The sequence below is a fragment of the Homo sapiens genome, chromosome 3 (assembly GCF_000001405.40).
Source record: "Homo sapiens chromosome 3, GRCh38.p14 Primary Assembly".
Classification (NCBI taxonomy): Eukaryota; Metazoa; Chordata; class Mammalia; order Primates; family Hominidae; genus Homo; species Homo sapiens.
Window position 1 is genome coordinate 179,582,566 of NC_000003.12, and position 14,613 is coordinate 179,597,178.

The following is a 14,613-nucleotide window of genomic DNA, read 5'->3' on the forward strand; positions in this document are numbered from 1 at the left end:
TAATCATAAAATAATTGTCTAATTTTGAATATCCTAACTTACAGATAAGCATTCTTTTTCAAAATATTTGTAATTTTAATTTTTGGCTGGTGGTTGCAATTAATATTTCCAGATGAGCATTCTTTGAATATCCTAACTTACAGATAAGCATTCTTTTTCAAAATATTTGTAATTTTAATTTTTGGCTGGTGGTTGCTATTAATATTTCCAGATGAGCATTCTAAGATAAAGTCATTATAAAATGTACTTCTAATTAAATATTGGCAGCTATCTGCCAAAAAAAAATTATGATTTTTAGAATGATTCCTTTAAGTTAGTGGTTCTTAAAACTTTGTACACATTAAAATAATCTTGGGAGTTAAAAACCATGCCTGCCAGGTACAGTGGCATGTAGTCCCAGCTACTTGGGAGCCTGAGGCAGGATTGTTTGAACCCAGGAGTTTGAGGCTGTGGTACGCTATGCCTGTGCCCGTGAATAGCCACTGCATTCCAATGTAGGCAATATAACGAGACCCCGTCTCTAAAAGTAACCTTGCCTGGATCCCATCCCCAGACATTTTTATTTAATTGCCCCTAGGAATTTGTGTTTTAAAAGCTCCTTAGATGAGTTGAATGTACAGCCAGGATGGAGAATTGATGGATTAAGCTATTAGTTCTATATAATAGTAAAACATTTCCAAAAAACGAAAGGGAAATTGTAGTAGAGCACATGGTTATATTTGTAGTTGTATTTAAAACTTTTGGAAACATATGGAACTAATTGATTTTTCTTGTATTTTTATCCTAGGGTCTCTATGGCAGTGTAATAGTGGCAGGAGGAAACACACTAATACAGAGTTTTACTGACAGGTTGAATAGAGAGCTGTCTCAGAAAACTCCTCCAGTAAGTTCTGTTTGTTCTTTAATGGTATTCTTCAGTCATATATTTCCTCACTGATGGTGTAATTTTGTAGATAAGCGTCCATTTTTCAATAGATACATGATATTTTGTGTGTGCCTGGTATAGTATCACTAAAGTTAATATCCTTTAATCGTTTTCCTAGTTGACATCTATTAGTTTCTCTTAAATTATTTGAATCTCATTTATTAATATTTAAATATGTATAGTCTGCTAGGCACTAGTCCCTGCACACCAAGGGCTCAGTCTACTAGGATGGTTAGACATGCAGAAAATGATGACTGTAACATGCTCAACAATTCAGTATGTCATGAACGAGGTGCTGTTGGGAACACCAAGAAGCCACTACTTAACTCTCTAGGAGTATCAGAGGATAGCCTCCTGAAGAAGCTATAGTTTGAATGAATAGTTCAACTCATTGCTAATTTATGAAAGGATATCTAGATGGAGGGAATAAAACCATTTACAAAAATACTAAGAGAAGACAGGTATGTTCCAGTAATTCAAAGTAGTTGGCTTCTAGTCTTTACGTAAGTGGGGAAAGCAATATGGCTAGAAAGATGGATTAGTTTCCTAGAGCTGCCGTAACAAAGTACATGTTAGTGGCTTCAAACAACAGAAATTTGTTGTCTTATAGTTCTTGAGGCTAGAAGCCTCAAGGTGTCAGTGGAGCTATGCTGAATCTCTAGGGGAAAATACCTCCTTCTTCACAGGATAAAATCTAGCAGTGGACTGATGAGCTCATGTTTGTTTTAAAAAGATCAGTGGGTATATTATAATAACTTTTAAAAGAATAGAAAAACTCGGTTTGAGAAGGTAATTTATATAGTACTTCGGTAACAGAATGACAGTTATAATCTTTTAACTTTAAAATTTCTATCAGCTGGGCGTGGTGGCTCACGCCTATAATCCCAGCACTTTGGGAGGCCGAGGCAGATGGATTATGAGGTCAGGGAGACCAGCCTGGCCAACATGGTGAAACCCCATCTCTACTAAGAATACAAAAATTAGCTGGGCCTGGTGGCGGGAGCCTCTTAATTCCAGCTACTCGGGAGGCTGAGGCAGGAGAATTGCTTGAACCCGGGAGGTGGAGGTTGCAGTGAACTGAGATCACACCACTGCATTCCAACAGAGCAAGACTCCATCTCAAAAAAAAAAAAAAATAACAAAAATTAGCCGGACACGGTGGCACGTGCCTGTAATCCCAGCTACTTGGGAGGCTGAGACAGCAGAATCGCTTGAACCCAGGAGGCGGAGGTTGCAGTAAGCCGAGATCATGCCACTGCATTCCAGTCTGGGTGACAAAGCAAGACTCTGGCTCAGGAAAAAAAAACAACAACAACAAAACTTCAAGTGCTTTTTTTGTAAGGTGTTCTGCACTGAAGATTACATTTAAAAAACCTTATTAGTGGTTACATATGCCCTAACAATATCTATAAATCTGTATATTTAATAGTCTTTTAGCTTCCCATATAAAATAATGTTTTACGTGTGCCACATTTCTATTATTAAAAGTGATATCTAAATATATAGGCACACAGTTGACATCTGCCTTGTATTTTCTAAATTCTTGGAGATCTAGAGCATACCTGAATTATAATACTAATCATTAGATTGATTGATTGATTGGAGATTTATTTATTTATTTATTTACTTGAGATGGAGTCTTGCTCTTGTCCCCTAGGCTGGAGTGCAGTGGCACGATATCAGCTCACTGTAACCTCCGCCTCCTGGGTTCAAGTGATTCTCCTACCTCAGCTTCCCAAGTAGCTGGGATTACAGGCATGTTCCACCACACCCGGCTAATTTTTTATTTTTAGTAGAGATGCAGTTTCTCCGTGCTGGTCAGGCTGATCTCAAACTCCCGACCTCAGGTGATCCACCCGCCTCGGCCTCCCAAAGTGCTGGGATTATAGGCGTGAGCCACTGCACCGGTCTATAATACTAATGATTAGATTTCATAGAAAGTCCCTGAATAATGAATACAGATAAGCATGGCCCAAGCTGTGGTCAAGGCCAGTTAGAAACTATCCTTGTCCTTTAGGAGGTGATAACAATCTCTGAAAGAACAGGAAAAAAATTCTATTTAATAGTTACCAATCTTTCTTACCTACAAAAACCCATGTTTACCCTATCCCCAGTACCTTCTACCCACCCATATCCCATACTCTACCCACCCTTGCTGCACACATACTTATTTCACTTTGAAAAGCCCCAAAAATATGTTCATTTATAGAATAATAGGAAGATGTCAACAACTTGAGAACTGTCCCCAGAGGCAGATTCCTTGGTAAGAGAAAGAAAAAAACCTCTTCATATAGGAAGTGAGATATAGGGGATAGTACTGTGCAATAAAATTGTGTTATCAAGAGAAAATGAGAGTCAGAACAGAAGCACTAATTTGGAAGGAAATAGTATGAATAAAAAACTAACCTGATATCTGATGGTTGTGTTTTTATTTAGAAGGGTTGGGGTGAACTAAGGAGGGATTAGGATAGCATGAAAGCCTAGAAAGGAAGCAGTTAGAAGGTTGGGGAGGACTACAGAAAGGGAGACAGATTGGGATGATAATTAGGTTGGTGTTGGATGAAATGAAATAATAAAGACTTAGCACAGCACCAGATTTATAGTGTTAGGTGTGGATTTGCTATTTTAGGATAGAAATTGTGAATGCTATACTTCAGTATGCAGCTTTTTAAAGTTTGTATGTTTTCTCATCATATAATCGCATGTTAAAAGCCATAATCAAAGTACTTTTAAAAGTCTGTACATTAGTCTAACCTATGCTTGTTATCTTGGCTATTTCAAAATTACCGTATTTTAATCAGTGTTTGAACCACAGGGAGCCATTATGAAGTCTGTCAAAATTGAATTTCCTGGCTGGGTGCAAGTGGCTCATGCATGTAATCCCAGCACTTTGGGAGGCTGAGATGGGCCGATTGCTTGAGTGCAAATGTGAAGACCAGCCTGGACAATATGGCGAGGAAGACCCTGTCTCTATTTGAAAAAAAAAAAAAAAAAAAGAATTTTCTAAGTTGAGTCACAAGATTTGATTGTACTAATGCATATTCTTCTATTTCAGAGTATGCGGTTGAAATTGATTGCAAATAATACAACAGTGGAACGGAGGTTTAGCTCATGGATTGGCGGCTCCATTCTAGCCTCTTTGGTTAGTAGATGAGCTACTTTGCAAAAATATTCTTACTGAATTATACTAAATTTAGTAAAAATACAAAAAATAATTCCAGTGCTTCATTTGTCTGTGCATTTTATAACTGTCAAATGAGTGGAAGACCTAATGGAATAACCAGTTTTATGTGTTCTGATGTAACAAAATGCCTCTGCCTAATTAGTGGACATTTGTCAGCCTAATTTCAATGTCCCCTCTCAAACAGAGGTGGAAATATGTTAATGTATGCATGCCTTTTCTAATAATACCCCCATTGGCACTGGTCAGGGCTTGTCTGGAGTGCATTTAAAATGAAAACATTGCTTCTCAAGTTCTGGTCATTCCCCAGTCTGCAGTGAGATCTACAGTGAGGTCTAGGAAGTCAGGAATTGGTCTTGGAGCAAATGGTGAAGTCATGGTGCGGGGTGTAAGATGTTGCTTGGACTACCATCTGCCTTGAATAAGGACAAAAAGTCCTTGTACTTTTCTGCATCCTGGACTTAGAGCATTTCTCCCCTTATATACAGTTTATATACTTATATCTATACTGTATATATAGTTACTTATGTATATACATATATACTGTATATATACAGTTTATATACATATATATGTATACTGTATATAAAGGGGGAGGATGCCCTTTACCTCAGAGCAACAAAAGTAAATGTCATTAAGTACTCATTCAAGCCTTCTGACAGTTTCTGTTATTGCCTTAGGTTGGCATCAAGCCATCACACCTAAACCCTCAGTCTTCCTTGCCAGATATTTTCTAAATCCTGACAATGTAACAGATACAGAAGGACTTAGTATTCTTTTTAACCATAAAGGCAAGGCTAAATAGTGTGTTTGGATGGTTCTGGAGGAGGGCAGAAATAATCGAGTACTATTTTGGGGGACGGGACTCTTAAATGAATTATTCAAAGTTTAGGAGTTACGAAAATAAGATATTAAAAAAAACGCTGGTGCAGTGGCTCACACCTATAATTCCAGCACTTTGGGAGGCTGAGGCAGGAGGATCACAGGTGCCCAGGAGTATGAGACCAGCCTGGGCAACATAGTGTGAGACCCCATCTCTACAACAATTAAAATTAGGCAAGGTGGCATGCCCCTGGAGTCCCAGGCTGAGGTGGGAGCATCCCTTGAACCAAGAAGTTCGAGGTTGTAAGCTACAATCACGCCATTGCACTCCAGCCTGGCTGACAGAGCAAGACCTTCTCTCAAAAAAAAAAAATTTTTTAAGCCATTTCTAGTAAGAAGTAAGGCATAATTATATAAATTTCTTTCCATTTTACAGGGTACCTTTCAACAGATGTGGATTTCCAAGCAAGAATATGAAGAAGGAGGGAAGCAGTGTGTAGAAAGAAAATGCCCTTGAGAAAGAGTTCCCAAGCTTCTACCTTCCTTTTGTCACCTTACGTTTCATAGCTTTAGTATACTCAGGAAAAGAATGACCATCTTTTGTAGAATGTTTATACATTTTTGCATATTTCAATTTCCACTTAAATTTTTTAAAGCTTTAACTGGCTCTATAAATTAAGTTTGTGCTTTCCTTGAAATGCACTTATTCTTATTACAAGCATTTTATAATTTTGTATAAATGTCTATTTTCTCTAAATATTTTGCTTTCAGTAAAATGCTTTCCAACTCTGTTTAGTGTATTAATTACCAGTGGATTGGTAGAACTGCTTTTTATTGACTAGTAAAAGTTACTGCCTATGCTTTTTACCTTAGGCTTACAGAATTAAATAAAAATTAGCCATTCCAGAAATATATTTTGGACTGTTGTGCACTGTGATTACTACTTTAAGGACTAAATGTATTTCTCATTATTTTGAATCAAAGTCCTCCGTTTATTAACAGCAATACCCACATCCTCTTCATAGCCTATTAACAACAGAGGTAAAACTATTATTCAAATTCAAAAACTACGGTATTGCCTTTGCTGTGGCAGTTACCATCACCTTCACACTCTAAGGTAGCAGGTGACATTTAAAGCCTGCTTAAATGTCAGAATTTATAAAGTGGGAATCTCATCTGAACTTTATACCTGATTTTTAGAAGCAAATTAGCTTCTACCAAATTAGCTAATTAGCATGCCATATTCACACTTAGAACAACTGATTAGTAAAGTCACTTGACTAAAAACAGAATTTCTTTATAAACCACTTAACATATTTACTCCTGTACACAGACTATTCAAGAAAAACAAAATGGTAAATTTAATAGTTCAGACATCTTAGACAAGACTTGACTTTTGGGCTTCAGCAAGATGTGGAAACTTTTTTAAAAGAATTTTTGCTTTCTTTCTCTCTAAATTTTCCTTCCGTGCTTTGATGCGGGCTCGTTTCTCACGTTCCAGTCTAGAATAAAAAAAGCGTAACAGCAATTTATACAAAAATATTTCCTTGTTATTCAATACTATCAAAATATGCATAAATCAATTACATCAAAGCTTCAAACATGCCAGTCCCTGTATTTGGTGTGTTATATATATTATTAAACTTGAATAGTAATCACTGTAAACCTACACAAGTCAAGAGCATCTGAAACCCTATACCAACTATCCCTATTTCCTGACTAGAAAGAATGTCCAGATATTATGAACCTGTAACAAATTGGGCCTTAAGTTCAATCCTCATATGACTAAGCATCATCTCTTAGCAGAGTGTTATTCTGTGTATAGGGGAAATGATAAGCTAGAGTGAGTACTATTTGAAAGTAGGGAATTCCCATAAGTCTCAGGATATCTCTCATGATGCCAAAAATAAATTCTTAGGCTCTGGCTAGACTTACTATTCTTTAAATGAGTTTGTTCCCACACATCAGTATCCCAGGGTATGACACATTTGCTGCATAAATTACAACATAAATTACTTGACCTGTAGGGTCAACTTGGGAGTTGTAAAAATTGAAAATGAAAAAAATCCTTGCATACCAAGCTCTATTTGAATTGATATCTTACAGGATATTGGTCAATAGAAATAAGTTTATATAAAATACAGCAATAAAGATGTACTGCTGAAGTTATTACAAATGAGGTTTTGGGGGGAAAAAAGACAATACAATATGCCAGTGCTATGGGAGAGGTCATAGAAAATTGAGATAACACGTATTACAGCTGGATGAAGTAAAAAATATGCACATATATAGGAAAAAAAGTATAAAGGCTGAACAAAGTCAAAATGAGATTACCCATTCTATTCATCAGTCTTTGCTCCAACTAAATTTTGACCATTTACAAAAACAAAGACCCATCTGAAAGAATAAAGGTTTGCTATTCTTAATATTAAGATGATGATGCTACATTCTGAAGGTGAGGCTTAAAAAGGTAGTTTCAAAAACAAAATCATTAGAATATGTATAAAACCTGTAAAAGTGATACTGGATTGATACATTCTCATACATTATTTTAAAAGTTATGTCATGGACAGGTGCAGTGGCTCACGCCTGTAATCCCAACTTAGGGAGGCCGAGGTGAGAGGATCACGAGGTCAAGAGATCAAGACCATCCTGGCCAACATGGTGAAACCCTGTCTCTGCTAAGAATACAAAAATTAGCCAGGCGTGGTGGCACATGCCTGTAGTCCCAGCTACTCAGGAGGCTGAGGCAGGAGAATCGCTAGAACCCGGGAGGTGGAGGTTGCAGTGAGCCGAGATCGCACCACTGCACTCTAGCCTGGCAACAGAGCAAGACTCCATCTCAAAAAAAAAAAAGAAAAAAAGTGATTTATAACTTCACCCTGTATGACTAAGGGACAAAAGGATCAAACAGCACAACCCTGGGCTTGGAGCAATCTCAGAGAAAAAGTGGTCAGATTTCTTCAGTTGCTTAGCATCTCAACTAGGTCTTAAATGTGAATAGCAAAGATTTAAAAGCTGTAGCAACAGAAGAAGCAACAGTGGAAAATAAGCAAGGAACACTTAGGAAACAAGGCAAGAGTTCTGACTTCGATGAAAGGTAGGTAGCTAAGACTTGCAGGAATACTGGGAGGAAAAGAGTTTAAGATTTTGTCCTGTAGACAAGAAGCTGTTGTATGTTTCTGAAAAGGCCTGATGTGATTAAAAAAAAAAAAAAAAAGTCTTGAGGAAAATTAGCCAGGAAGCAATACTTGATTGGACTGGAGTCAAGAAGTTCGGTAATTCAATTTGATGAAGACACAGACTGCACTAGGGCAAAGACAATGGGAGAAGAAAAGACAGATCCTGGAGACATTCTGCAGCAAGAATTAAATCAAGGACTGATTAAATATATAGCAATGGTGATGAAAAAGATGACTGACGGTTTAGGGCTAATGTAGACTGGATGTACTACAGATAAAATGAGAGGTAGCTGGTTCAGTAGGGAGATGAGTAATTTTAAATGTGATTCTAAAGTACACTAAACACTTTAAAGCCAAGGTTAAAGATACATTCCATTCCTATTTAAATTGTTTTTAAAAATTTGTTTTGGTATGAAAATCGGGGCGGGAAAATCGGTTTCTGAGGAACTTGCTAAAAGTAGAACGTATTATTCAAGAGTTGTTAAAAGCTGTGGTTCTTGTGCTGCTATCGTGCTGCTATGATTTCCCCTTTAATTTTCCAGCTGCCTTCCCAGCCTTGAATTCTGATTTCTAGCACCTTTAGCCAGGAGCCCTTCGGTTCCTCTGCCCTGTCTCTCTCTGGAGCCACAGCAATGGGAGTTGGATAGCACCCTTGGCCCAGGAAACCATAAACTAGCAATACTTTTCCCTTCTAATTGCAGTTTTGGGGATTAAACTATATCCTCTGGCTTTGTCTCCTTTTGGATATGGCCCAAGTGTTTTAAAATAGCTCTTTAAAAAAAAATCTTAAGTTTGTATAGTTACCAGTGAGTGGTTCATGGGAACACTGCACTCCTCTATCATAACAGAAGCCCTATGTTCTCCCTGTTCAATGATAAACCTAATGCAGGAAAAATGTGCTAAAGGAAATATTTGGAGATCAACATTCTGCAGGACAACATGAGTTTAGATATAATATAACAGACTTCTCTTCCTAGCGCCATTTCTTTTCAACAGCCTTGCAATAACATGAACTCACATTGTATGCAACTGAATTATTTGGACCTTCATTTTAACATAACAGTAGAAATTTTTCCATTTACATATAGATACAAGAATAGAAAGGCAATAAAACTTTTGAAAGGATACATACTACAATGTTAACAGTGGCTATTTCTTTTTTTTTTCTGTTTTTTGAGATGAAGTCTCACTCTGTCGCCCAGGCTGGAGTGCAGTGGTGCAATCTCAGCTCACTGCAACCTCCACCTCCCAGGTTCCATCAATTCTCGTACCTCAGCCTCCTAAGTAGTTGAGATTACAGGCACATGCTACCATGGCCGGCTAATTTTTGTATTTTTAGTAGAGATGGGGTTTTGTCACTTTGGCCGGGCTGTTCTCAAACTCCTGACCTCAAGTAATCTGCCTGCCTTGGCCTCCCAAAGTGCTGGGATTACAGGCATGAGCCAACACGCTTGGCTGACTGTGGCTATTTCTGAAGGTGAGCTTATATATGACTTCAATTTTCTTTTTTACCTATTTTGTTTGTTTGTTTGTTTTTGAGACGGAGTCTCACTCTGTCACCCAGGCTAGAGTGCAGTGGCGCGATCTCTGCTCACTGCAAGCTCTGCCTCCCGGGTTCACGCCATTCTCCTGCCTCAGCCTCCCAAGTAGCTGGGACTACAGGTGCCCACCACCATGTCCGTCTAATTTTTTGTATATTTAGTAGAGACGGGGTTTCACCATGTTAGCCGGGATGGTCTCGATCGCCTGACCTCGTGATCCACCCACCTCGGCCTCCCAAAGTGCTGGGATTACAGGTGTGAGCCACCGCACCCAGCCTGACTTTCCTATTTTTTATAATACTTATGTAATAACAGAAATTAAAATTTAAAGACAGCTTAAGCTTTCTTTATGTCATCTGGTATGATATATGACCATATGTCATCTGGTATAAAGATAATATGTTTTATTAAAGGTGCTTGTGCTCACCTGAGAAAATGGTCCACATAAGGCAAGGCAAAGAATCGTTTCCTATTGTATCTTTTATTTAGGTGCCAAGGTATAACCCACTGCTTGAACTTGTGCCTGCCAATAAAGCAAAAAGTTATTTGCCTTAAAGAAAACATTTAATACATTTTCACTTTCCTAATTTACCTCAAAAGGGTTAGTCCAAATAAAAATTAGTAGAAAATAAAACATAAACATTTTTAGTGAGATGCTTTGGCAATTTCTCTTTTCTGTGTTGGACTTAAACCCCATTAAAAGAACCTACCGAATGAGTTATGAGTTAAGTGGTATAATGTCAAGAGTACAGGGAAGGTCTCTAACCAAAATGCCTTCCCCATTCTGCCTACGTTTAAAAGTCTAATGATATTTCATCTTGGTTGTTCAGCCCAAAGGTAAATAAACCTCTTTCTGAGGGGAGGTTTATTTACCTTTGGGTTGAACAGCCTCCCCACCGAAGGAGGTTTATTTACACCAGGTCTTCTCAGTTATTTACACCTCAGCATGAAGGCTGATTACCAGATCCTTTCCCAAAGGCTGACAAGACTCTGGGATTTGAATGTAGGAGAAACAAGGAGGTATAAAAAATAAACTACTTCATAATTTGCCCTAGGGCTTATCCTGATGGCAGTGGGAGCAAACTGAAACTGGTTCATGTGACATTCCCTGAGACTTTAAAAAAAATAGTTCCAGGTTCTCAATGTGCAAAGAGGGCAGGTGTGTGTCCTGAAGTTAGCTTCATGGATTTTATACCTTCTGAAGTGATATGTGTACATGTACATTTTTCTGAGGAAACGATCCCTAACTTTCATCAAATTCTCAAAAGGCCTTGTGATTCATATAAGACTAAGAACCACTACAATAAAGACTTATAGGTAACTGAATCATAGGAATGGGATGTCTGGGCTGGTTTTACCAGATAAAGCTACCTTCATTCATATCCTCCTTCATTAAAGTCCAAAGGGGTGTGGGGCCTCTTCTTTTATTAGACATATCTCTAATATTATCTCATATGGTACAAATTTTTTTTTAAAAGATATTGGGCAGGGGAATGAGGCATGGATTTCCACTCTCATCTTAGAAGAGCCACAGTGTTAACTACATACCAGATGATTCTTCCAAAGATGTCTCTTCTCCAAGCACCAGGTCTAGCTCTTTCTTGACCAGTCTGAAGAAGCCTTAGGGCATCTTCTCTTTCCTGGACAACTTTATCTAATGCATCCATGGAATCTACTACCTGAAAAGAGAATAGAAAGATACAATTTCAACAATCATCTACTACAAAATTCCCAAAAAAGAGAATGTATAAACACTTCTGCTACAGAAAACTTATGAATATTTATGCCAAAGAACCACTCTGTTAAGTATTTCCTAAAAATCTTTTTGGCACAAGTATGTCTACATGGGTGTCTAGATTACCACTTTCTGTATTTTTTAAAAAGCTTACAGTTTTAACTACAAATATATTTCCATTAGTTTTGTTTGGAGTGAGATACACTTACATAGATTCCTTTTGGAGACCCAATTTGATTCATGTTATTTCAAAACTCAATGAGCTAATAAGAAGTGATAATAATTTGCTATTTTCATTATATTAAAAAAGACATGTTCTGGTCTCAACTAATCACTGTGTCCTTGACATGCAGACACAGATATTGTGGCCTGCTTGGTAGCTGTTGCTACTACAGGGAAAGGAATAGCAGTCCATCCAGATATGAATCTCCAAAGATTTATCAAGATGCAAGATGATACTATTAAACTTCTATTTATTTTTACCTCTTTAAGATTTCTATTGTTTTATAATGTATATATTGGCAGGGTTTTATACATATATATATTTTTTAGACAGAGTCTTGCTCTGTCACTCAGGCTAGAGCGCAGTGGCGTGATCTTGGCTCATTGCAACCTCCACCTTCCAGGTTCAAGCAATTCTCCTGCCTCAGCCTCCTGAGCAGCTGGGATTACAGGCACCTGCCACCACACCCGGCTAATTTTTTGTATTTTTATTAGAGATGGGGTTTCACCATGTTGGCCAGGCTGGTCTCAAACTCCTGGCCCCAGGTGATCTGCCCACCTTGGCCTCCCAAAGTGCTGGGATTACAGGCATGAGCAACCGCACCCGGCCTTCTATTTGTTTACATATAAATATTCATATGTTGGGGATTGTAATGTGAGATGGGCCAAACTTTTTCATAGTCCTAAATACATACTGAGAGCCATTTTATGTGTATGTCCCTTAAGCATCACAACAGATATCAAATACTGCATAAGCACATTTGTTTCTCATAAGAATCCTCAAAAAAAGCACAGATTATAATCCCCCAGGTAGCTATGAGATCTGAAAAAGATATGAAAGCCACAAATTTAGATAAATTACTTCATAATCAGTTTTGTTTTTGTTTTTTGAGACAGGGTCTAGCTCTGTCAGCCAGGCTGGAGTGCAGTGGCACGATCTTGGCTCACTGCAACCTCTGCCTCCCAGGCTCAAGCAATCCTCCCACCTCAGCCTCCCAAGTAGCTGGGACTACAGGCATGCACCACCACACCCGACTAATTTTTGTATTTTTTTGGTAGAGACAGGGTTTTGCCATGTAGCCCAGGCTGGTCTCAAACTCCTTGGGCTCAAGTGATCTATTTGCCTTGGCCTCCCAAAGTGCTGGGATTACAGACGTGAGCCATTGCACCTGGCCCATAACCTGCTCAGTTCACACTCAGCACTTCTGCTATCCTCAACTTCACTAAATGCCTTACAGTAGCTGAATTCACATGCCTTCCTCTTAACTATTTTATTTTCTACAAAATCCCTGAAAAAGAAATGATGACTAAGACAAATTCTATTTTGAAGACAAGCAAACTTAGGAGAGTAAAGGGACCACATTGATAAGGGCTTTATATAAAACTCTCTAATCTTTAGAAATTTTTAGTAAAGCTGGTTGTTCACTAACTGCATTAAAGAGTTTGCCTAAGCAAGGGTAAGACTTGAGGCTTCCAGCTGAAATCCAGTGTTAGCTCACAAAGATAGAAAGTAAATGGCTACCAAGTCCACAGAATTAACATTCAGAAGTTCATGCCAAGAAATGTGAAGGAAAATCAAAAGTATTATTTAGATATACCTTATTGAAAACAAGTCAACCTCAAAGAGCCTTCTTTTCTATAAGTTTCTCAGTGCCAGGAGCGTCAGTTGAGAGAATATAAAATAGGACTGTGTTCCAGGGTAAGAGTATACACTTCTCTTTACAGCCAAGAATTAACATTACAGAGTAGCCCTTGAAACACATGTTTTTAAAAGAGACAAAAAGATACACTTGCAAAATTATAATCAATCTTTCAACATTTGCCTTGTTTCTGTATTTCAAACACAAGGGGACTAACATGTCATTTATTTGTGTGATAAATAGATACTAATACTCTGAAGAGAAGCACATATAGTGAGGGTCATTTATCTCAAATGGATAGTTAATACTTTAGTTACAATCATAGCTAACTATTGTGCCAGAATTATATAATTTCTCCCTTAATTTTTATATTATTCTCTAAGTAAAATTTGTCTGTAATATGCTTCAACTGGATATCAACTCACATCAGTGATAAGAATTATATCCCAATTATAATTCTTTTCTCTTTTACTCTTCCTTAAACAGTTCCAAATCTTCGGTTTCTATCTTATATTGAGAATTTTTTTTACATTTTTGCTTAATAAAGTTTCCTTAGTAGTATGTCACAAAACACTGGAAACACCAGATGTATATGAAGTTTGAAAAAATTATGGTCACTTTCAGCTTCTCTGGAGTAAACTTTTATTATTTTGGGTTCTACTGATTGAGAAAGTGCAGTACATATAACCTACTGGGCTGAAGTTCACCTCTGAAATACATATTTAAAGCAGATAATCCACGGTTGAAGTTCAAAAGTTCTGTAACAGCACCATTATAGCAAAAGCTTTTTCATCAAATAACGTGTTCTTTATAAAGCATCCTTACTTGTCAATGCACTTTTTATTTTTTATTTATTGAGACAGGGTCTTGCTCGGTCACCCAGCCTAGAGTTTGGTGGTGCAATCGTGGCTCACTGCAGCCTCAACCTCCCAGGCCCTATACTTTTAAAAAAGTTCAATGTCAGGAAACACAAAGACTGAGTCTCCAGATTAAAGGAGACTGAAGAGACACATGAAAATTCATGATGCAGAATTTTCTTTTGCCATAAAGGACACTTGGGATAACTGACAAACTCTGAATAAGATCTGTAGATTACAGCTAACAGAACTGTATCAATGTTAATTTCCTGATTTTGAAATTTACATAGTGGTTATATAAGGGAATATCCTGGTTTTTCTGAAGTTTTTATAGATAAAGGGATGTCATGTGTACAACTTACTCTCAAACATTTGAGAAAAAATACTGTGTATGGAGGACTGATAGATGCATAGAAGGATAAGGTAAATGCAGTAAAACAGAGCAATCTGGAGGGTATATGAGAATTCCTTCTACTATTCTTGTAATTTTTCTGTGAGTCTAATATTA

The 14,613-nt window shown here is 37.6% G+C and overlaps 2 protein-coding genes across 5 annotated transcripts in view; one reads left to right on the forward strand and one right to left on the reverse strand.

Moving 5' to 3' along the window:
* The window catches only part of ACTL6A (actin like 6A), a 25,482-nt gene extending 19,640 nt beyond the window's left edge, over positions 1 to 5,842 (forward strand). For all 3 annotated transcript variants that reach the window (NM_178042.4, NM_004301.5, NM_177989.4), the window contains exons 12-14: positions 788 to 883; positions 3,981 to 4,067; positions 5,365 to 5,842. In NM_178042.4, the coding sequence (NP_829888.1) occupies positions 788 to 883; positions 3,981 to 4,067; positions 5,365 to 5,445 (264 nt within the window). In that variant the 3' untranslated portion in view covers positions 5,446 to 5,842. The remainder of the gene's footprint in view (positions 1 to 787; positions 884 to 3,980; positions 4,068 to 5,364) is intronic.
* MRPL47 (mitochondrial ribosomal protein L47) overlaps positions 5,720 to 14,613 on the reverse strand; it is a 16,362-nt gene continuing 7,468 nt past the window's right edge. The window contains exons 5-7 of one of the 2 annotated variants that reach the window (NM_020409.3): positions 11,200 to 11,330; positions 10,079 to 10,174; positions 5,720 to 6,430 (exon numbers count right to left, since the gene is read on the reverse strand). In NM_020409.3, coding sequence (NP_065142.2) covers positions 6,307 to 6,430; positions 10,079 to 10,174; positions 11,200 to 11,330 — 351 coding nt within the window. In that variant the 3' untranslated portion in view covers positions 5,720 to 6,306. The remainder of the gene's footprint in view (positions 6,431 to 10,078; positions 10,175 to 11,199; positions 11,331 to 14,613) is intronic. The other variant, NM_177988.1, reaches the window with a different exon arrangement.